Source organism: Homo sapiens, chromosome 19 (genome assembly GCF_000001405.40).
Source record: "Homo sapiens chromosome 19, GRCh38.p14 Primary Assembly".
Taxonomy (NCBI): domain Eukaryota; kingdom Metazoa; phylum Chordata; class Mammalia; order Primates; family Hominidae; genus Homo; species Homo sapiens.
Window position 1 is genome coordinate 38210653 of NC_000019.10, and position 22645 is coordinate 38233297.

At 56.3% G+C, this 22645-nt stretch overlaps 1 protein-coding gene across 20 annotated transcripts, besides 5 other annotated features; it reads right to left on the bottom strand.

The window, feature by feature from the left end:
• On the bottom strand, positions 354-19043 carry DPF1 (double PHD fingers 1). Of its 20 annotated transcripts, none has more exons than NM_001135156.3 (12): positions 18907-19043; positions 11896-12051; positions 11705-11812; positions 8279-8406; positions 7921-8010; positions 7146-7224; positions 6808-6939; positions 5701-5751; positions 5488-5607; positions 2992-3104; positions 1628-1709; positions 354-1481 (listed from the first exon to the last, which is right to left on the bottom strand). In NM_001135156.3, the coding sequence occupies exons 2-12, from the start codon at positions 11918-11920 to the stop codon at positions 1411-1413; spliced, it is 999 nt and encodes a 332-aa protein (NP_001128628.1). In that variant the 5' UTR covers positions 11921-12051; positions 18907-19043; the 3' UTR covers positions 354-1410. The 20 variants fall into 20 exon arrangements, with proteins under 20 accessions (NP_001128628.1, XP_024307499.1, XP_006723471.1 ...); XM_024451731.2 differs by having other exon boundaries at positions 7921-8004; positions 11896-12056; XM_006723408.4 differs by having other exon boundaries at positions 1628-1739; positions 7921-8004; positions 11896-12056.
• Positions 6496-7695: an enhancer, noted in NCBI's record as "CDK7 strongly-dependent group 2 enhancer chr19:38707788-38708987 (GRCh37/hg19 assembly coordinates)". NCBI's record gives its function as "activates an origin of replication core promoter dependent on BRD2, BRD4, P300/CBP, MED14 and CDK7 cofactors, with strong dependence on CDK7, by STARR-seq in HCT116 cells {active_cell/tissue: HCT116}" and the evidence as "EXISTENCE:reporter gene assay evidence [ECO:0000049][PMID:35650434]".
• Positions 8303-8802: an enhancer, noted in NCBI's record as "H3K4me1 hESC enhancer chr19:38709595-38710094 (GRCh37/hg19 assembly coordinates)". NCBI's record gives its function as "activates a minimal SCP1, AML or CMV promoter by ChIP-STARR-seq in naive H9 embryonic stem cells {active_cell/tissue: H9 hESC(naive)}" and the evidence as "EXISTENCE:reporter gene assay evidence [ECO:0000049][PMID:30033119]".
• Positions 13335-13904: a silencer, noted in NCBI's record as "silent region_10563". NCBI's record gives its function as "represses an Ori minimal core promoter by ATAC-STARR-seq in GM12878 lymphoblastoid cells {active_cell/tissue: GM12878}" and the evidence as "EXISTENCE:reporter gene assay evidence [ECO:0000049][PMID:35858748]".
• Positions 16827-17597: an enhancer, noted in NCBI's record as "H3K4me1 hESC enhancer chr19:38718119-38718889 (GRCh37/hg19 assembly coordinates)". NCBI's record gives its function as "activates a minimal SCP1, AML or CMV promoter by ChIP-STARR-seq in naive H9 embryonic stem cells {active_cell/tissue: H9 hESC(naive)}" and the evidence as "EXISTENCE:reporter gene assay evidence [ECO:0000049][PMID:30033119]".
• Positions 18948-19327: a silencer, noted in NCBI's record as "silent region_10564". NCBI's record gives its function as "represses an Ori minimal core promoter by ATAC-STARR-seq in GM12878 lymphoblastoid cells {active_cell/tissue: GM12878}" and the evidence as "EXISTENCE:reporter gene assay evidence [ECO:0000049][PMID:35858748]".

Sequence of the window (22645 nt, forward strand, 5' to 3'; positions counted from 1 at the left end):
TTCCCCACCCCAGCCTCAGGAGGGGCCAACCCACCGTCCTCTTCCCAGCCCTTCCCTTCCCCCGGCCCGGCTCCCGCCTCCCTCCCGGCTGCGCCCGCTGCAGCTGCAGCAGCCCGTTGCCAGGGCAACCACAGCTGGCTGGGCGGGAGCCCCTCCACCCCATCCCCCTTCTCCTCCTTTCTGGCAAAGCAGGGCGGAGCTGGGACAAAGCCGGGGAGAGGCAGGGTGCAGGCAGGGGAAGAAGGAGGTGGATGGAGGTAGGGGCTGGCTGGTCGCCTCACCCCCAACAAGGCCCGTCGACCCCCGGTCCTCCTTCTTGGTGATGCCCCAAACCAGACGGGAGAACGAGGCAGTCGTGGGCAGAGGGGTCAGGCCCAGTTTAATACACAGAACAAGTTAATTCACAGCAGAGGCAGGCAATAGAGGAGACTCGGTGACAAGTGAGGGGGCACTCCTGGATTAGGGGACATCCCCCCAAAACCCACCACCTCCCCCACCTGCAGTCTCAGTTTCCCTTTTTTAAAACCCGAACAACAAACACACACAACCACAAGAAACAACCACGCCCCCTCACTCCCCCAAAATGGCCAGCGAGGGGGGCGGGGGCCGCCAGGCCTGGCGGGGCGGGAGGAGGGAGAGAAAAGGAGTCCGTGGCGGAGTCTGTGCTTCTCATTCCAGCAGGCGCTGGGCGGGGGCCCACCCGGCCCCACCACCGCCACCCACCAGCCACGGCAGGCACGGGGCGGGCACAGGCTGGGGCGGTCGGGGAGGGGCAGGAACAGAGTTCAAAACCAAGGTTCACATCATGCAGTATCCACCGTGGGCACCAGGAGGGGCGGGTGGACACCACGCCCACCGCCCTGGGCACAAGAGGGGAAGGCGCCCACCTTGGGTGGGGCGCGGGACGGCTGCAGCTCCAGAAATTGGGGTTGGGGCGCCCGGCGGGGGGCCGGCAGAGGCGGGTGCCCGGTGGACACTCTCAGCAGCGCCCCTCCACCCAGCCAGGCCTTGGAGGACTCTTTGTATATATTAACTTCTTTTCTTTTCTTCTTTTTTTTTTTTTTAACTTTTTGTCTTTTTCTTTAGAAAAAGGCTCTGTCCATGCCCCTGGCTGGCACCCACCACCCCCCATGCCCGCCCAGAGGCGGGGTATGGCTTTGAGGGGAGAAGCCCCTGGTGTCCATTTGCCAAGGGACAGAGAGGGAGGGAGGGAGGGAGAGGCCCTGGCCGGGCCCACCCACCCACAGGGCAGACATTCCACTTGCACAGAGGGGAGGGGGTGGCCCAGCCCCCTCTCGGCTTCCCCCTCTCCCCCTCCCCCTGCGGGATGTTCAGGGTGGGGGAGAATTGAGGAGCTCGGAGAGGCAGGTAGGCGAGCACCACCCCAGAGTCGCGGCGAGCCGAGCCGGCCTAGGTGAGGGTGATGTAAGCAGAAGCCTTTTCCTTCAGGTGCCGGAGACAGAGGTGACAGCTCCAGCTCCCTGCGGGGGCAGCCGAAGCTGAAGTCAGGCCCGGGTCCGGGAGGGCTGCCCCAGCCCCTTCCCACCCCGAGGACACACAGTCTTCCACAACCAGGAGATGGCGTTCCCACCCACCCGCCCCATGGGATGCCCACCTCTCCTCTCACCTTCCGGGGGCTCCGCCATGGGGGGACTCAGGCAGTACATGTGGTAACCCCGATCGCAGTCATCACAAAACAGCAGCTGGTCCTGGGGGGTGAGACCCGCCCAGCTGGCACCCTGGGGGCACGGGCACCAGAAACGGGGGTGGGGGGCTGGGGCAGGGGCTAGGTCAAGGGGGCTGGGGGAGGTGAGGCCTTCCGAGAAAGGTTCTGAGAAGGTCTTTGCAGCAGGAAATGTGTGCGCAACACTGCTTAGCCAAACACATATCCCTCAGGACAGTCCCTTTGCGATTTATAGTGGGGGTTTTATAAGGCTCTGTGGAAGGCTTATTATTATTATTATTTTATATTTTTAGAGACAGGGTCCTACCCTGTTGCCCAGGCTGGAAGTGCGGTGGTGCAGTCACAGCTCACTGCAGCCTCACACTCCTTGGGGCTCAAGTGATTCTCCTGCCTCAGTCTCCTGAGCTGGGACTACAGGTGTGCGCCACCATGCACGACTTTTTTTTTTTTTTTTTTTTTTTTGAGACGGGAGTCTCACTATGTTGCCCAGGCTGGTCTGGTCTAGAACTCCTGGGCTCAAAATTCCTCAGCCTCCCAAAGTGCTGGGATTACACAGGTGGGCCACCGCTCCCGGTCTGTGGGAAGTTTAAATGACACCAAGATGATCTGATAGCAGCTCTGCCAGAAACGGTCATGGCTTTTGTTTTTGTTTGTTTTTTTTTTTTTTGAGACGGAATCTCGCTCTGTCACCCAGGCTGGAGTGTGCAGTGGCGCCATCTCGGCTCACTGCAATCTCCACCTCCTGGGCTCAAGCCATTCTCCTGCCTCAGCCTCCCGAGTAGCTGGGATTACAGGCACCCAGCTAATTTCTGTATTTTTGTAGAGATGGGGTTTCACCACGTTGGCCAGGCTGGTCTCAAACTCCTGATCTCAGGTGGTCCACCCACCTCAGCCTCCCAGAGTGCTGGGATTCCAGGCGTGAGCCACCGCGCTCCGCCTGTGGAAGGCTTTAAACAACCCTAAGATGATCTGATACCAGCTCTGCCAGCAGTGGTCATGGCTTTAAATCTCAGCTCTGCCATTTCCCTAGCTGGCTGACCCTGGGCAGGTCTCTTTCCCTCTCTGAGCTCAGTTTCTTCCCTGTGAAGTGGAAACAAGACCACCTGCTTCAGAGGGTGGTTGGGAGGATCCAGAGAGATGAAGAGGAAAAAGGGCCAGGTTCGATTTATGGACACCGGCATAATGATAACACAGGGGACTGGTGTTCACCAGGGAAGGCTCAGGCACAGGCTTTAGGCTTAAGGGGCAGAGGTGGACGTGCCAGGCGGGGCGGGCAGCAGGGCACGCGGGGGGCGGGCGGCACTCACGTCGTTCTCGGAGGTTCCGCACAGGCTGCAGGATTTGCACTCGATGCACTGCCAGCGGTAGGTCCGCACGGCTGCCGTCATGTTCACCGTGAATTGTAAACACGAGGGGTGTCCTGGGGGCCAAGGGGCAGGGGTGCAGTTAGGAGGTCACCGTGCCCCTGGTGGGCACTGACCGGCAGGGGAGCCATAGCTCAGCCCCTACCCCTGGCTCATGACGCCAGGATGAGCTGCCGGGATCCACAGCCTGACCCCACACCTGCCCAGCAACCACGTGGCCGGCAGCAGTCCCCCGGCCACCACAGTCTCCTACCACAACCACCATGGCAACCACACTCTGCTCCCCAGAACGCCATGGCAACCGCATTCCATTACCCACAGTGCTGTGCCAACCACTTTCTACCACCCACAACACCGTGGCAACCACATTCTGTTAACCACCGTGCTGAGACAGCCACTTTCCATTACCCACAGCAGAACGGCCAGGGGTCCTGTTAACCACAGCAACGTGGCAACCACACTCTCCCAGCCACAATGCCATGGCAACCACCTTCCACAACGGGGTCCCCACACTTCGGTTTCATGCAACTGAAGTCCATTCCACTTGGTGCCCCAGCAACAAAACTGTTACTCACATCACAGCACTGTGCAGCGCCAGGCTTAGTCATTCCACAGCCCCGCTGCAGAGACACCCGCAGCCGCTACCTGCAGCCACGACCCATGGCGCCCGCCCCCTGCAACCACGGCCCCGGTGCCATCACAACTACATTCCATTATACTGAGTTGCCATGACAACCATATTTCACTACCCATGATGCCACGACAACCACAATTCATGACCTACTGTGCTGAGGCAACCAGAGTCTATATTGCCCACAAGCCCACCATGGGAAACCACATTCTGTTAACCACAACTCTATGGCGAGCTCATCCTGCTACCGGTGCCCAGGTGGTGGTGTCCGTCACTCACACCACACAGCCCACTACCTGCCATGCCTTGGCCCCTGTCTCTTGCTACTCCTTTTGTCTTGTTTTGGTTTTTGAAACAAGGTCTCACTCTGTTGCCCAGGCTGCAGCATAGTGGCACCATCACAGTGCACTCTGCAGCCTTGACCTCCCAGGCTCCAGCGATCCTCCCACCTCAGCCTCCCGAGTAGCTGGGACTAATGGGGTGCGAAACTATGCCCAGCCTTTTTTTTTTTTTTTTTTTTTTGAGACGGAGTCTTGCTCTGATACCCAGGGTGGAGTGCAGTGGTGCAATCTTGGCTCATGGCAACCTCTGAGCCCCGGGTTCAAGCGATTCTCCTGCCTCAGCCTCCGGAGTAGCTGGAACTACAGGCACGCACCACCACACCCAGCTAAATTTTGTATTTTTATAGAGATGGGGTTTCACCATGTTGGCCAGGATGGTCTTGATCTCTTGACCTCATGATCTGCTCGCCCCAGCCTCCCAAAGTGCTGGGATTACAGATGTGAGCCACATCACCCAGCCTGGCCTATTTTTTTTTTAATAGATGGGCTCTCATTATGTTGCCCTGGCTAGTCAAAAACTCCCAGATTCAAGGGGCTGGGTGCTGCGGTGGCTCACGCCTGTAATCCCAGCACTTTGGGAGGTCAAGGCAGGCAGATCACCTGAGGTCAGGAGTTTGAGACCAGCCTGGCCAACATGGTGAAACCCCCGTCTCTACTAAAAATATTAAAAATTAGCCAGGCATGGTGGCGGGTGCCTGTAATCCTAGCTACTCGGGAGGCTGAAGCACAAGAATCACTTGAACCCAGGAGGCGGAGGTTGCAGTGAGCCAAGATCATGCCAATGCACTCCAGCCTGGGTGACAGAGGGAGACTCTGTCTCAAAAAACAAAACAAAACAAAACAAAACAAAAACCTTCTGGGCTCAAGCGAGCCTCCCACTTCAGCCTCCCGAGTAGCTGGGGCTAATGGGGTGCAACACCATGCCCAGCTAACTTTTTTTATATATAGATGGGATCTCACTATGTTGCCCAGGCTGGTCTCAAACTCCTGGGCTCAAGGGAGCCTCCGGCCTCAGCCTCCTGAGTTGCTGGGATTACAGGTGCACAACAACACACCTGGATAATTTTTAAATTTTTTGTAGAGATGGGGGTCTTGCTATGTTGCTCAGGCTGGTCTCAAATTCCTGGCCTCAAGTGATCCTCCCACCTCTGCCTCCCAAAGTGCTGGGATTACAGGCGTGAGCCACCACACCTGGCCTCTCACTACTCTTGATGCCATGCTAAGCACAGGCAGCTACCCACAGTGCCATGAGAGCCACATCCCATTATCCCTAAAGCCTCACTGATCCGACCCAATTCCCACAATCCTCAGCAGTTGCATCAGCCTCGCTAGCTCTGGTTATCCACAGTATCCCCTACATGCTCCGGGTCCCCTCGGTCCTCACCGCCTTGCCTCCCTCCCTCCAGGTCTGCACTCCTGAATGTCCTCTGCACCCGGCCCCCAGAAACCTCAGGTGGGGAGCATCACCTGATCGCCCACAGTCCGCACAGGAGATGAGGTCCTCGGGACACCCCGTCTTCTTGGAGCCCCCCAGGCAGAAGTCACAGTAGCCGTTGGGGATGACAGTGCCGTCGGGCGCCTTCTTGGCTGCAAGACAGCAGACAGGCATTGGCACGGGGCAGGCAAGGGCACCCCGCAAAGGTGGCTGCAGACTTTAGGAGCAGAAGGAGGCATCCGTACCTGTGTGTTTCCTTTGTGCCTCAGGGACCCAGGCCAATTCTTTGTAAAACTCTGGGGTAGGGGGGACAGAGAGAGGGACTCTCACCACAGGCAAGGCTCCACCCTGCCCCCAGCCTCAGCCCCAAGGATGGACCTCTTAGTCCAGGCGTGGGGAGCTGGGAAGAGTGAGTAGCTACCCCAAGCTGTGGGGAGAGGTGAAAACAGTTCTCATCGGGACTCCCAACTCTGCCTTTTTAAATTTTTTTTTCAATTAAAAATAAAGGCAGGGTCTTGGTATGTTGCCCAGGCTGGTCTCCAACTCCTGGCCTCCAGTGATCCTCCCACCTCGGCCACTGCCACAAAGTGGCGGGATTATAAGCGTGAGCCACTGCACCCAGCCAGGATTCCCAACTCCTTGAGACAACTGACATGTCCTCTTTATTGGGTCAAAACTTGGTAGACAGCTTGAGGAAGGGCTCCCTGCCTCCCTTCTCACATACATGTCTCCCAGCCAGCCACTCCCAACTGCACCCTCAGTAATTTGTATCTAACAAATTCAGCGAGTACCCCAGCCAAGATCTGGTATGGAAACAGACACTCGGAAGAAAAACTCCGAACACTGAGGTGCGTGGGTGTGTAGTGGCCAGGGGTGAAGACACTCAGCCTCTGCCTCTGAGAGATAGGTGGGAAGACAGTGTCTCCCTACTGCCTCTCCCAAACCCTCCTCCCCTCCCCCATCCTTCAGCTGTCAGAACTGGCATGGGATTGGCAAGGGCGGAAGCCAAGGGCTCCCAGGCCACAGACCCTGCCCCTTGACCAAAGCTTAGCAGAGAAAGGAGAAAGGGAAGGCAGGGCGGGAGGGGAGCCATCTATCACCCCCCCTCCCCAAGCTCTAATTGAAACAATAAATCAGACCCAGAAATATTACGCCCGGCCAGGAGCGAAGGAGCGATGGTTGGTTGCCATGGCAACCCCGGAGCCAGCATCCCCATGGTCGGTGGGGGGAGGGAACGGCTGAGCTGGAGATTTTCCAGAAATGTCTAATGCCCCCCCACCCCCACCCCCAGCTGGGCTCCTCTTCCCCACTCCCAGGGCCCCTGGCCACCCCCACCTGGCCTGCCAGCTCACGTTTATGGTTGTTTTTCCGGTGGAAGGGCAGGGCGTGGCGTTCGGCGTTCTCCTCCCCCTCCTCCTCGGCCAGGTGGGTGTGGGTGTAGTGGTAGCTGAGCCCCGGCCGGTTCTTATACCGTTTCCCACAGACTGGGGAGCGAGCGAGCCAGGAGGGCCTGTCAGCCCCTCCGGGCCCCTGCCGCCTCCACCCTGGCCTCCAGGATCACACCTCCCCCCTCAGCCAGAGACCTGAGCAGCCTCCCAACCCGGGTCTGGAACGGGAGGGAGAGGGCCACGAGGTGGGGAGTCTCTGGGCACCCCTCTCTCTGCCTTTCCCCCTCTTCAGAAGGACTCACTATCACAGACATACGGCTTGTCTCGGTCCTCCAGGGAAGCGGTGTCCTGGCGTTTCCGGAGACCCCCGATGCCATATGCCTGTGGGGAGAGTCAGGAGTGAGGGGCCAAGAAAGTGAGAAAACAGGCCAGGCGTGGTGGCTCACACCTGTAATCCCAGCACTTTGGGAGGCCGAGGCAGGCGGATCACGAGGTCAAGAGATCGAGACCACCTTGGCCAACATGGTGAAGCCCCGTCTCTACTAAAAATAGAAAAATTAGCTGGGCATGGTGGCGCGTGCCTGTAGTCCCAGCTACTCGGGAGGCTGAGGCAGGAGAATCGCTTGAACCCGGGAGGCGGAGGTTGCAGTGAGCAGATATTGCGCCACTGCACTCTAGCCTGTGACAGAGCGAGACTCCGTCTCAAAAAAAAGAAAAAAAAGAAAAAAGAAAGTGAGAAAACAGTGTCTTTTGCAAATTCAAATTGCAGCTGTACAAATGTCCTAGCTGTGGGGCCTTGAACCTCTCCAAGGTTCAGCTTCTTCCTCTGTGGCATGGGGATGAAGGTAGCTCTAACCCACTGCATAATCTCTGCTTTGCAAATGGCTTAATACAGATGAGCCTCAGTTTCCTCATCTGTAAAATGGGTATAAAATCCCCCACCCCTGCAGGCCGCTCTGGGGATTCAATGAGGTCAGACTGAGGTCAGACTGTGGCAGGGGCGGACCACTGCACCTGCTCCATGAATGAGACCTGTCATTGAGGGGAGCGGGGAAGAGGAGAAGCTTGGGGTGATACCTTTCCTTTGGCCCTGTTCTTCCTCCTGGGAATGTCATCCTCCAAGTCTTCCACCTCGAGGTCATGCGGAAACTCCAGCAACTGCTGTTTCTGGGCAATAGAGAAAGGAGACGGGTCAAGAAAGTGGGGGCCACTGACCTGCTTTTGAGGGGCTCTGGGCAAAGGTGGAGATTGGGGGTGAGAGTATAAGTCAGGAGTTCTTCCAAATAGAGATGAAGTCTGGGAGGATGGTGACTGGGATGCCCAACAGCCAGAAGAAACCGGGGGGGTTTCAGAGCAGGAACGTGAGGGCCCGGGCTGGTGGCAGGCAGGGGTGAGACGAAGCCATGCAGCGGGGGTCCCCCAGAGGTGGGCCCACCTGACAGTCCATAATGGTCTCCTCCTCCTTCAGCTCAATCTTCTTCTCCCCCGTCTCTGCACACAGTAGAGCCTCGAGGACCGGCCCTTCCGGGAGGCCACCCTCCTTCTTCAGGGGTGCTTCACAGTCTGGGGACAGGGCCATGGGGGGGTCAGATGGGGAAGTTGACCCCGGAGGACTCCTCAAACTATGCAGGTGGGGGGACCATGCTCTTTGCAGGAGGGAAGAGGCTGCAGAGGCAAGGATTTAACCACATGCCCTAGGAGGGAGGCCCAGACTCTGGGGAGACCCAGTCACGCCCTCAGATGCCCTGGGATGCACAGCAGGAGACACGGTCAGAACTTTGGATACACCAGAAAGCCTCAGAAAAAGACACAGTTAGGCCATCAGGCACACCCAGACCTACTCAGGGAAGACACAGCGACTCTCAAACATACCCAGACAAATATGGACAGATCCAGACACTCGCAGAGGAGACACAGGGACACCCGCAGGGGACATCCAGACAGATCGTCTGAGACAGATGCGGGAAGGAAGAGGCCCAGCCATGCTGTCTTTTTTCTTTTTTTTTTGAGACAGGGTCTCGCTCTGTCACCCAGGTTGGAGTGCAGTGGCGCAATCTCAGCTCACTGCGACTCCCAGGCTCAAGTGATCCTCCCACCTCAGCCTCCTGAGTAGCTGGGACTACAGGCAGAGTAGCTGGCATGCTACCACACTGGGCTAATTTTTGTATTTTTGGTAGAGATGGGGTTTCATCGTGTTAATCAGGCTGGTCTCAAACTCCTGAGTTCAAGCGATCCTCTGCCTCGGCCTTCCAAAGTGCTGGAATTACAGGCATAAGCCACACTCTCAGATACAGCCTAGAGACTCAAAGAGGTATAGCCAGATCCTTGGAGACACCCAGACACAGGGAGGAGACATAGCTGGACCCATGGGTACACTCAGAAATGCTCAGAGACAATTAGCTGGCCAGGCGCGTTGGCTCACACCTGTAATCCCAACACTTTAGGAGGCTGAGGCGGGTGGATCACTTGAGGTCAGGAGTTTGAGACCAGCCTGGCCAACATGGTAAAACCTCATCTCTACTTAAAAAAAAAAAAATACAAAAATTAGCCGGGTGTAGGGGCACATGCCTGTAATCCCAGCTACTCAGGAGGTTGAGGCAGAGAATCACTTGAACCCGGGATGCGGAGGTTGCAGTGAGCCGAGATCGTGCCACTGCACTCCAAACTGGGTGAAAAAAAAAAAGAAAGGAAGAAGGAAGGAAGGAGGGAAAGAAAAGAAAAAGAAAGAGAGAGAAAGAAAGAAAGAAGGAAGGAAAGAAAGAAAGAAAGGAAGGAAGGAAAGAAAAGAAAAAGAGAGAGAGAGAAAGAAAGAGAAAGAAAGAAAGAAAGAGAAAGAAAGAAAGAGGCCGGGTGCGGTGGCTCACGCCTGTAATCCCAGCACTTTGGGAGGCCGAGGCGGGCAGATCATGAGGTCAGGAGATCGAGACCATCCTGGCTAACACGGTGAAACCCCGTCTCTACTAAAAATACAAAAAATTAGCTGGGCGTAGTGGCAGGCGCCTGTAGTCCCAGCTACTCGGGAGGCTGAGGCAGGAGAATGGCGTGAACCCAGGAGGCGGAGCTTGCAGTGAGATCGCGCCACTGCACTCCAGCCTGGGCGACAGAGCAAGACTCCGTCTCAAAAAAAAAAAAGAAAAAGAAAAAGAAAAAAGAAAAAAAGAAAGAAACAATTAGCCCTCCAGATACACCTAGACCCTGGGGAAGACACAGCCAGATGAGATGCTTGGACACATAGCGGGGAGATACCGACATACTCAGGGAGAATCACTCAGCTAGATACACACAAACACACACAGGAGACAGACAGGAAGAGACACAGCCAGGTGGGCACTGCCACGCTCCTGGGTACACACAGACCCTCGGACTCAGGAAGAGAAACTGACCCCGAGGATCCCGATATTCCTAAACACATTCAAGGGTAAGTCCAGATCCTCTGATGGACTGGCACACACGTGCAGAAATACACCTGATACGCCAGACACCATCAGGAAGATTCTCCCAGACACTCCGAGGCACCCACACACCCACAGAAAGAGACGGCCGCACCGCCTAACACACCCAGACACACTCGGGAGGAGCCGGACACCCTGACAGACCAGACATACACAAGACACAAGCCTTCTAAGACACTTGGAGACACCTGGGAAGATACACCTAAGAGAGGAAAGAGCTCCAACCAGACACTGAGACATCCAGACGCCCTTGGGGAGATACAGAGGCAGACACCCTCAGGCACCCACAGAAAAAAATACAGGCAGATGGCCGGGCATGGTGACTCAAGCCTGTAATCCCAGCACTCTGGGAGGCCAAGGCAGGTGGATCACCTGAGGTCAGGAGTTCGAGACCAGCCTGGCCAACATGGTGAAACCCTGTCTCTACTAAAAATACAAAAAAATTAGCCGGGCATGTCAGTGTGCATCTGTAATCCCAGCTACTCAGGAGGCTGAGACAGGAGAATCGCTTGAACCCACTAGGCGGAGGTTGCAGTGAGCTGAGATTGCGCCACTGTACTCCAGCCTGGGTGACAGAGCCAGACTCCATCTCAAAAAAAAAAAAAATACAGGCAGACTGATCCATCCCAGTTCCCAGGGGAAGGGACACAGTCAGCAACTCCATACACCCACACACACCTAACAGATATCACTATGCCCTCCAATACCACTGGGACCCTTGGTGGGGCATGGTGGTTCACGCCTATAATCCCTGCACTTTGGAGGGCTGAGACAGGAGGATCCCTTGAGCTCAGGAGTTCAAGACCAGACTGGGCAACATAGTAACACCCTGCCTCTATTTAAAAAACAACAGGCCAGGCGCGGTGGCTCACACCTGTAATCCCAGCACTTTGGGAGGCCGAGGTGGCCAGATCACCTGAGGTCAGGAGTTCCAGACCAGCCTGACCAACATGGTGAAACCCCGTTTCTACTAAAAATACAAAATCAGCCGGGCATGGTGGCGCATGCCTGTAATCCCAGCTACTCGGAAGGCTGAGGCAGAATCGCTTGAACCTGCTAGGCGGAAGTTGCGGGTTCAAGGTTCAACTCCCCGCTAGGTGGAGGTTGGGGGATCACGCCATTGCACGCCAGCCTGGGTGAAACTCTGTCTCAAAAATAAATAAATAAATAAATAAATAAATAAATAACAACAACTGGGCACCTGGGCCCATGTAGGAGGAGATGCAGTCGCCACTCAGTGACTCAGAGAAACTGTGGAATCTCTGGGAAACACCCGGGACGCACATGGGCAGACAGACACACAGCCAGCCAGGCAGACACTTGCTAGAAGGCGATAAAGGTGATGGACGAGTGCTAGGACACACAGCAGGCGCTGGGACACCGATGGGGGCCCCAGCGGCTGCACCCACCGATCTTGTACTCGCAGGGCCTGAGTCTGGGGTCCTCCAGGATGTTGAGTCTCCGTTTCTTCCTCCAACAGCGGGCGGGGTACGTGTAAATCTGTCCCGGGGCCAAACCTGGAGAGAGAGGGGGGTGAGAGGGCGGCGGCGGTGGGGCGGCCTGGCCCCGCCCCGCCCTGCGCCAGCCCTCCCGGCGGTACCCGGCCCGCGGTGGGTCTTCTCCATCCAGATGTAGCAGTTGTTCTGGGCCACGCCGGTCTGCGAGTCGAGGAAGGGCAGTCGCAGGCTGCGCTCGGCGCACAGGCGCGCGTTGTAACTGCGGCAGTGCTCGATGGCCTCGCGGTAGAAGTCCTCGCCTAGGCTAGAGGGGCGGCGAACGGGCGGGCGGCTGTCAGCAAGGGCAGGCGCACAGGGTCGCCCAGCACCCCTTCCCCGGCTGCCGGGCCGCCCAGGCTCGGGAGGGGTGGGCCGACCCCTCCAGCCTCACCTCTCCCCTCCTCCCACTCCGGGACCCAGGCTGGGGGAAGGGGACAGGGCCCAGGGGCCCCCAAACTGGGACTCAAACAGGCCCCCAGCTCATGAGTAGAAACACGATACAGAAACAAACAAAAACACACCGGGACGTATCCCTACCTGAACACATGCAGACACACAACACAAATCACACACAGTCACACGGGATTCACACACAAAGAGAGACAAATCCCAATACTCACAAAGGAGAAACAGACAAACCTCACACACGTGCACACATAAATATCTACTGAAAAAGACAAATATCCCAAGTTCCATAGTGTGGAGACAAATCACACAAATAACCATGCACAAAGACACATCACATATCCACAGACACACACCAGAAACACATCACCCACACAAAGACACACAACATGGAAACATCACACCACACACACATACACCCCCTCATGCATCCAAAGACACAAGCATGTCAAAAGACAGGAACTACAGAAACCACTTGCGCCCCTAGGCACTTACCCATGTATCCAAAGACACAACACAAACCACACACACAATATCCAGACACACAACACAAAGAAATCACACAGATTCACACAGGTACACACACACATTTACAAAGATGCACGATGCGCAACCAGTATCTAAAATATCACACATCCACACAGACACACACACATATAAAACACAGAAACAGCCAAATCCACCCATAGTCACACAAAAATTTACACACAAATACACGCAGCCCTACATACCCAAAAACACAGAACACAAGACAAATGACATATAGTTCCAAAGGACACGGACACACACTGGGAGACCCAAATATCCAAAGATATCTAGTGCAGAATAAAAGGAAACAGACACATGTCCACACACCTATCCCCCAAAAATTCTTAAAAAAACCAGAACACAAATAAGTGATACACACACACACTCCACATCCCAAGACAAAGGTAGTGTGGACTTCACTCCAGTTGCCAAGGCCCCCGCACCCCCGGGTCATTTCAGTCTCTCCCAGACCCGAGGGTTGCAGGGAAGGGATGATGTCTCCCTTCCCCAAAAAGAATCTGGAGGCCCCCCACGCCCTCCACCCCGCCAGGGAGCGGTGCATCCGACACCATTCTTGTCAGAGACCCACAGTCACACACTCTCGCACCCCCGCGCAGCCCCGCACTCGGTGACAGCCCCCCAGACACCCCTTCGGCCCCACCCCCGGTCGCCACACACACACAGGCCCGCGTAGACCCGCCCGCGCTTCCTCTCCGCCTCCCGCCGGCCCGCACCACCTCAGGGGGCCAGGGATGACAGTGGCCATCTTGCTCCCCGGGTCCTGCCCCCAGCAGGTCCCCGCCGGGTCGGTCCTCCCAGCGGTCGGGCGGGCGCTGAGGCCGCCCATCCATTCATTCCCGGGGGGCGGGAGCACGAGGGCCACGGCCAATCGCGGCGACGGGGCGGGCCCGCCCGGGCCATGCTGGGAGTGGTAGTCCCAGGCCAGGGGGCCCCCGGGACCCCGCGGGGACGGGACGGCGCGGAGGAGGGGCCCGGGGCACGCACCGTCACTCACCCGCCCTCACTCGTCCACATATCCTGCTCTCGCGTGCACACAACCACATGCACACCTGGACTCGCACACGCCCACGCATGGCAGTTTACACACACATTCACGCGGATACTCACAGCCTCCCACACACTCCTACTCACACACCTTCGCACGGACTCACACAGCCACACGCACACACACTGCAATACTAAGAGACGCAGAGACACCTCCCAGGTGCCCACACAGACTTCTCACCAACATGCTTCCAGCAGACACCCCCTCACCGCCCCCCACCCAAGTCCCTCCTGGCTCCAGAGACCCCACCCGGGGCTGTCTCTCCCAGCAGCCACGCTCACGGTCACCCCGCCCTGCTCAACGCCTTCTGCAGGCCTGACAGCAGCAGTGCAGGTTAGAAACAGTAGTCACACCTCCAGGGTTCAAATCCTAGCTCTGCCACTTGGTGGCCATGTGACCTTGGCAAATGACTTAACCTTTCTGGGCCTCAGTTTCCTCATCTGTAAAAAGAGGATGATGCCTCACTGGAGTGTTGTGAGGATTAAATGAGTAAATATAGGTAAAGCATTTTAAGAGGTGACTGGCAGGCCAGGCGCAGTGGCTCACACCTGTAATCCCGGCACTTTGGGAGGCCCAGGCAGGTGGATCACCTGAGGATGGGAGTTCGAGACCAGCCTGGCCAACATGGTAGTAGTCTCTACTAAAAATACAAAATTAGCCGGGCATGGTGGCGCATGCTTATACTCCCCCACTCAGGAGGCTGAGGCAGGAGAATCACTTGAACTCAGGAGGTGGAGGTTGCAGTGAGCTGAGATCGTGCCATTGCACTCCAGCCTGGGCAACAAGAGTGAGACTCCCTCTCAAAAATAAATAAATAAATAATAAGAAAGAAAGAATAATGCGGCCAGGTGCGATGGCTCCAGTCTGCAATCCCAGTACTTCGGGAGGCCTAGATGAGAGCACTGCTTGAGCCCAGGAGTTTGAGACCAACCTGGGCAACATATCCAGACCCCTGTGTCTACAAAAAAAAATTAAAATTAGCTGGGCATGATGGCGCAGCAGTGTAGTCCCAGCTACTTGCAAGGCTAAAGTGGGAGGATAGCTTGAACCTGGGAGGCTGAGGCTGCAGTGAGCTGTGGTCTCACCACTGCACTCCAGCCTGGGTGGCAGAGCGAGACTCTGTCTCTAAAAGCAAACAAACAAACAAACAAACAAACAAAAAACTAAGTAAGCAGGGCGCCGTGACTCATGCCTGTAATCCCAGCAATCTGGGAGGCTGAGATGAGAGGACCGCTTGAGCTCAGGAGAACAGCCTGGGCAACATAGCGAGACCTGGTCTCTACTAAAAAAAAAATAAATAGCTGGGCATGGTGGCACATGCCTATGGTCCCAGCTACTCAGGAGGCTGAGTCAGGAGGATTGGTTGAACCCAGGAGATCGAAGCTGCAGTGAGCTATGATCACACCACTACACTCCAGCCTGGACAACTGAGCAAGACCCTGTCTCCAAAAAAAAAAAAAAAAATAGATGCTCAGTAGATATTTGTTGAATGAGTAAATGCACCCATCATGTGCTGGGCACAGTTCACCCCGGGATGCTTTTATTATCTGCATTTTCCAGGTGAGGAATCTGAGGCACAGGAAGGTAACCTCACATGCCCGCATGCCCTGGCGGCTCTTTGAAGGTAAGACTGAAGGAAGGAGGCAGGCACCCCTGACGGCCCTCCCCAAGTAGTCCTGACCTCCTTCTCTCTCCCACTGTCACCCACACTGACTCCACCCGAAGAGATCCCCAGGGAGTGAGCAGACCCACTGAGTCACAAACTGACCCAGTCTCTCTGCAACACCACCACCCCGTCCCCCCTCCCGTCTCACCCCTCCTCCCCCTTTCCCCTTCCCACCCCTTCTCCCCCTTTCCCCTTCCCCTCTTCCACCCGGACCCCTGTAGAGCCAGCATTCAAATTTGGGCGGCTGCTGTAATTAACACGCCCACAAACGCCCTCATCCACCAGGGGGCGCCCCAGCCGACAGAAGTGGCCCGCTAGCCTTCACCATTTTTGTCACTTGAAATCCCCCCAAGAGAGAGATCCAGTCAAGGCCTCCTACACTCACGGTCACTTCTACACACACACACACACACACACACACACACACACACTCCTCTAGTCTTAGACCCTTTCCACAAACTCGCCCATCTAAGCCAGGTAAGGTCTTGGCCGGCCCCTCTCCTGGAACAGGAGGTAGGTCTCTGATTCACATATGGCCTGGAGTGGTGACAAGGGGATTAAGTGAGGGGCACTGACACCCCTACGATCACTCTGGCCTCCAGGGCCCTATAGTGGCCACCTCACACCTTACCCACGGTGAGCTGTGACCCCACCTTCCTCTCTCACCTCCCATTAGCTCACAGGTCCCGTAACACACCCTCTTACACTTGATTCCCACACCGCTAGCCTCAGACACGCAGACTCACTCCTGCCCCACCCCAAACTCTCATGTCGATTTGATTAAGAGAAGCCCGAGTGTAGACACTGAGTGCAGACCTTCCTAACAGTCCTCCTCTACCAGCAGAATTTCTATTTTTCTTTCTTTTCTTTTCTTCTTTTATTTCTCTTCCTTCCTTCCTTCCTTCCTTCCTTCCTTCCTTCCTTCCTTTCTTTCTTTCTTTCTTTTCTTCTCTTTCTTTCCTCTTTCTCTTTTTCTCTTTTTTTTTTTTGGACAGCGTCTCACTCGATGGCCCAGGCTGGAGTGCCATGGCATGAACACAGCTCGCTGCAGCCTCCACCTCCCAGGCTCAAGCGATCCTCCCACCTCAAACCCCCAAGTAGCTGGGACTACAGGCCTGTGCCACCGCACCCGGCTAATTTTTGTATTTTTGTAAAAACAGGGTGTCCCTGTGTTGGCCAGGCTAGTCTCAAACTCCTAAGCTCAAGTGATCTGCCCACCCTGCCCTCCCAAAGTGCTGAGATTACAGGCATAAGCCACCATGCCCGGCCCACCAGCAGGATATCTACCCACAGACGCAGGCTGACACTTGCAGCGGGCTCTCCTTTCTTTCCTTCTGCCCTAACCACCTGCACACACCACTCCCACATACTCTCCTACACACTTGAACTCCCAGTCCTCTCCCTGGCCCAAACAATCCTCCTGCCCCATCCCCCAATGCCCTGTGTGGGAGCTGGCCCACAGTAGAAATCAATTTCATAAATCAATATTGATACTACTAATAATAATCACTACATTTGGTCAGTGTCAGTCTCTGTGCTAACTGCTTTACAAAGATGGCCTTAGCCCCACGACAGTCCCATCGGGTGGTAAGGGCTGTTAGAAGCCCCCATACACAGATGGCAAAACTGAGGCTCACGGCAGGGAACATTCGTGGCTCAAGCTGGTTTTGGAACTCAGGCAGTCGGAACTTCCGAGGGCGGCACCCTGCAGCTCCTTCTCCCCAGGGGATTTGACTCACATTCTTTCAGGAGCCAGGGAGTCCCCACCTTCACCCCCACAGAGACCTTTTGGAAGGGAAGGGCACAGAGGGGTAGGGCCCTCCCAGTCCAGGCTTACTGTAGCTGGGCCCCTGCTCACGGCTGTAGCACACCTCCTCCCAGGGGTCTGGGCCAGGGTCAGGGTGAGGGGCCCCATCGCCTGTAGATCCACCAACCTGCACAAGAGCCCCGTTCCCAGCCATTTTGCGGATGTCCCCTCACAGGAGAGACAGCTGTCTGTGTGTGCCACTTAGGGTGAGAGGGCAGCAGAGGGGTGTCACCATCATACACCACCTCACACGGACCCGAGCCCCACACACCCGCTCCCGGCACCCTGCTCACGGCGAAGCCACACGTGTAGGCGCTTGCCTCTAAGTCCCTGCCCCCCTTCCTCTCCCAACTCCCACCCTCCACCTCCCACCCCCATTCCCGCCAGAAACCAGAAGCAACTGGCGGCCTCTGGTCCAGCCAGCAGGCGCATCCCTTCTCGTGGGTGGGGTAGGGGGGCGCTCCCTCTCTCCCTCTCTCCCCCCACCCCCCACCCCCGCCCCCAGCCCTCGATGTTCAAGGTCAAGGCAGCCAGCGCACGGGGTTGGGGGAAGGGTGGGGGAGGTCGCCCCGGCCCCTTTGTGCGACGCCGCGGGCGCTCGCCCTCCGCCTCCTCCACCAGGCCCGGGAGGAGGGGGAGGGGAGCGCCTCGCTCGCCTGCGGGGAGGGAGGGCGGGAGCGGCCGAGTGCCTGTCACTTGGAGCCCGCTGTCACCGCCTGGGAACGGGGGGTGGGGAGCGCTGGGACGTGGAGTCCGGGATCCCGAAGAGGAAGCAAGAGCGAGATGGAGAGGGGGAAGGGGAGGTGTGGAGAGCGCGAGGGATGGCAAGGAGAGGAGAGGGTCAGGAGGGGCCAGGCTCGGACCCAGGCTTCCGGATTCCCAGCCACCGGGCCCGGGAAGAGGCGAACGCTCGGAGGACCGCGGCCAGGGAGAAAGGGAGGGAATCCCCGGAGACCGAGGGCGCTCCCGGCACCCCCTCCTGGGCAGCCGGTCCCCAAAGGGATCAGAGATGCTCCCGTTTGATGTGTATGCGCGGGGAGAGGGAGGGATGCCGCGGTCCAGACTGACGGCGGGTTCGGGGCTTCCAGTTCCCGGGATCCCGGGAGGAAAAAGGGGAGGCAGCGGGGATGGAACTGGGGACCCCCGACGTCTCAGCTCCCACCCTGCGGCCGCGAGGGCCGGGGTCCTCAGAGAAAGAAGGGGAAAGAGAGAAAGGCGCTTTGATGAGCGGAGAGCGGGTGATGGAAACCCTGGAGACCGAGGTCCGGACTTAGGTGTTCGAGCTTTCAGCCCCGGCCGGGGCAGGCCCGGCACCTCCGGAGACCCTGAGGGAGAGATGGAGGAGAGGGAAACCCCTACCCCCACTCTGGGTGGGGAAACGGCCTCCGCCACCCCCAGCCCGCGCCGCATTCCTTCACTGACAGCGACAAAGAAGAGGCGCCCCCGCGACCCTGGAGGGGCTCCCGCCCCCAACCCCAGGGGGCGACAGGGGGTGGGGACCCCCGGGGCAAGGGTTCGCGCTGGGGGCCCCCATTCAACTACGGTCCGCGCGCTGCGTCCCCCTCCTCAGCCCCAGGGCGGGCGGGGGAAGGGCTCCTGGTGGGGGGGTCTGGACAGGGGGCGGGGACGGCAGGGACACTCACGACTTGAGCGGGTTCTGAATGGCGGTGGCCATGGCCCGCTCGGCTGGGCCGCCTCCGGCCCGGGGCGCCGCTGCCGCCGCGCGCGGGCCCAGCCCGGCCTGCGCCGCCCGCTCTGCCGCCCAGCGCGCTACGATTTCATTCATTCTTGGGGCTGCGGCGCGAGCGGAGCGGGGCGGGCCGGGGGCGGGGCTCAGCCAATCCCCGCGCCTCCCAGCGCACGACGGGACGTGGAGTCTAGGGGCGCGCGGCGGCGCCCGAGGGCGCCCCTGCCCGGACTACACGTCCCAGGGGGCGTCAGGAGGACCGCGCTCCCATTGGCTGCTGGGGATACAGGGAGGGGCGGGGCTCCCCCCAGAGCATCTTTCCTCCCTCCCTGGGAGTGCTCGGTCTCCAACTCGGGATCTCCACCCTCCAGGCACCGCGGGCGCGGAAGCAGGTGGTCCCTAGCTTCTAGATGTCCCCAGGGTATGTGGATGACCCTAGGGTCTGTCGTGTATTCTTGTCTAGGCCTATTTGGGTGTCTCTTCTATGTCGGACAGCCTGTGAACAAGCACAGGGGTTAATCAGTGCCTTTGTTCATTTACTGAGTGCCTGCTGTGTTCCAGGAACTCTTCTAGGCACTGGGGATACAGCAATGACCAAAACAAAGTTGCCGCTCTCAAGGAGCTGACATTCTAGTGGAGAAAGACAGATAATAAGAAAATAAATAGATAAAATCATTTCAGACAGTGAAAGGTGCTATAAAGAAAAGAAAATGGGGCCAGTCGTGGTTGCTCATCACTTTGGGAGGCCTGTAATCCCATCACTTTGGGAGGCCAAGGCAGGTGGATCATCTGAGCTTAGGAGTTCAAGACCAATATGGGCAACATGGCGAAACCCCGTCTCTACCCAAAATACAAAAAATTAGCTGGGTGTGGTGGTGCATGCCTGTAGTCCCAGCTACTCAGGAAGCTGAGGTGGGAGGATCACTTGAGCCTGGGAGGCAGAGATTGCAGTGAGCCGAGATTGTACCACTGCATTCCAGCCTGGGTGACAGAGCGAGACCCTGTCTCAAAAAAAAAAAAAAAAAAAAGAGAGAGAGAGAGAGAGAAAGAAAGAAAAAGAAAAAGAGAAGAGTCCAGGCACACACCTATAATCCCAGCACTTTGGGAGCCTGAGGCAGGAGGATTGCTTGAGCCCCATAGCACAAGACCAGCCTGGGCAACATAGTGAGATCCCATCTCTGCAAAAAGTTTAAAAATTATCTGGGTGTGGTGATGCATGTCTGGAGTCTCAGCTACTCAGGAGGCTGAGGCAAGAAGATCACTTGAGCCTGAAAGTTGGAGGCAGTAGTGAGCTCCAGCCTGGACAACAGAGAGAGTCTCCGTCAAAAGCAAGAAAGCAAGCAAGCAAGCAAGAGAAAGAAAGAAAAAGAAAGAAAAGAAGAAAATAAAATAGATTCAGCAGAACACAGATTCCAGAAAGAAAAAAGAAGCAAATAAAAGATAATTTTAAAAAAAGAAAACAGATTGATTTGAAGGAGTGAAGAAGTGGCTTCTCTGAAGAGATGACATTTGAGCTAAGGTCTAGAAGTTGCCAGCATGCACTAAGAAGCATGTCTAGGCACAGGATCACCAAGTGCAAATGCCCTGGGCTGGGAACAAGTGTGGCATGTTCAAAGATCAGGAAGCAATTGAGTGTGACTGGAGCAGAGTGAGCAGGGGGAGACAGCCTGGGGAGAGAGCAAGGACCCGGCTCATGTAGTACCTTGTAGGTCATTATAAAGAAAATGGATTTTGTTCTAAGTGCAATCAATCATCCTGAACTCTCCTTCTCCTCTTCTTTTTCGCACACACACTCCAAGCCCATCGGCAAATTCTGTTGTCTCTACATTCAAAACATATCCAGATTCCACCCACTCTCTGCACTTCATGGCCTGCACCCCAGTCCTGTCCATCATTGTCTGCTGCCTGGACTATGGTAGCAGCTTCATCACTGGGCTCCTGCCCCTCAAGTCTGCTCTCCCCACACAGCCAGAGCAGGCTATCTGAAGCATATCTCTGTGCTGAGCACAGTGGCTCATGCCTGTAATCCCAACACTTTGGGAGGCCAAGGTGGGTGGATCACTTGAGGTCAGGAGTTTGAGACCAGCCTGGCCAACATGGTGAAACCCCATCTCTACTAAAAATACAAAAATTAGCCAGCTGTGGTGGTGCATGCCTGTAATCCCAGCTACTCGGAAGGCTGAGGCAGGAGAATCGCTTGAACCTGAGAGACAGAGGTTGCAGCGAGCCAAGATCGCACTGCTGCACTCCAGCCTGGGCAAAAGAGAGATTCCATCTCAACTAATAATAATAATGATTAATTAATTAAGCATATATCTGCATCCAACCACTCTCTGGCTCAAACCTCCAGCGGCTTCTTTCATAATTTGAATAAAATGCAAAGCCCTCGCTACGCCCTCCTCCATCCCTCCTCAACCCTCATCACATTTCTGGCCTCTTTCACCTCCTTCCTTCCCTTGGCTAACTTCACTCCAGCCCCACTAGCTTCCTCCCTATTTCTGGAACATTCCAATCCCACTCCAGCCACAGGACCTTTGCACCTCTGCCTAGAGTGCTCCTCCCACAGACACCTGCCTCACTCCATCCCGCACTTCATTCAGGTCTCCGGTTAAATGCCACCTCCTCAGACACAACCCTAGCTAAAATTGCAGCCCCTAGCCTCCTGCCTCAGCCTCCCAAAGTGCTGGGGTTACAGGCGCGAGCCACAACACCCAGCCAAAATTATGAATAAATAAATGTATTGGCCAGGTGCAGTTTGCTCATGTTTGTAATCCTAGCACTTTGGGAGCCCGAGGCGGGTGGATCACCTGAAGTTAAGAGTTAGGGACCAACTGGCCAACACAGTGAAACCCCAGCTCTACTAAAAATACAAAAATAAGCCAGGTGTGGTGGCACGTGCCTGTAATCCCAGCCACTCAAGAGGCTGAGGCAAGAGAATCACTTGAACCCAGGGGGCGGAGGTTGCAGTGAGTCGAGATTGTGCCACTTCACTCCAGCCTGGGCAAAAGAGCAAAAAACTCCATCTCAAAATAAAATAATAAAATAAAATAAATGTATCAATTAGTCATGCTCCATGCCTCTCCCCAGTGTCCAAAAGCATGCACCCAGCATGAAGAGAATCAGGTGGGATCCAGGCTCTGCCCTACCCCATATGGACACTTGGACAACCTGAAGTGAGGGGCAAATTTGGGGCCTTTTTTAAGGAAAAGTGCCCAGCACAGCATCTGGACCTAAGGCTTCAAGGCAGAGAGAAGGGATACATTAAAAGGCACACTTGGCCGGGCGCGGTGCCTCATGCCTATAATCCCAACACTTTGGGAGGCCGAGGAGGGTGGATCACCTGAGGTCAGGAGTTTGAGACCAGCCTGGCCAACATGGTGTAACCCTGTCTCTACTAAAAATACAAAAATTAGCCGGGCGTGGTGGCGGGCGCCTGTAGTCCCAGCTATTAGGGAGGCTGAGGCAGGAGAATCACTTGAACTCAGGAAGTGGAGGCTGCAGTGAGCTGAGATGGCACCACTGCACTCTAGTCTGAGCAACAGAGTGAGACTCCATCCCAAAATAAATAAATAAATAAATGTCACATCCACTCATTTCTAGAGAACGATGATGGTCTCCATCCCTCTGTGGATGTGCTGGGGACACAGCAGCAAATAAGATGGCCCCAGACTTTGCCTTAAGCTTGGAGTCCAGAA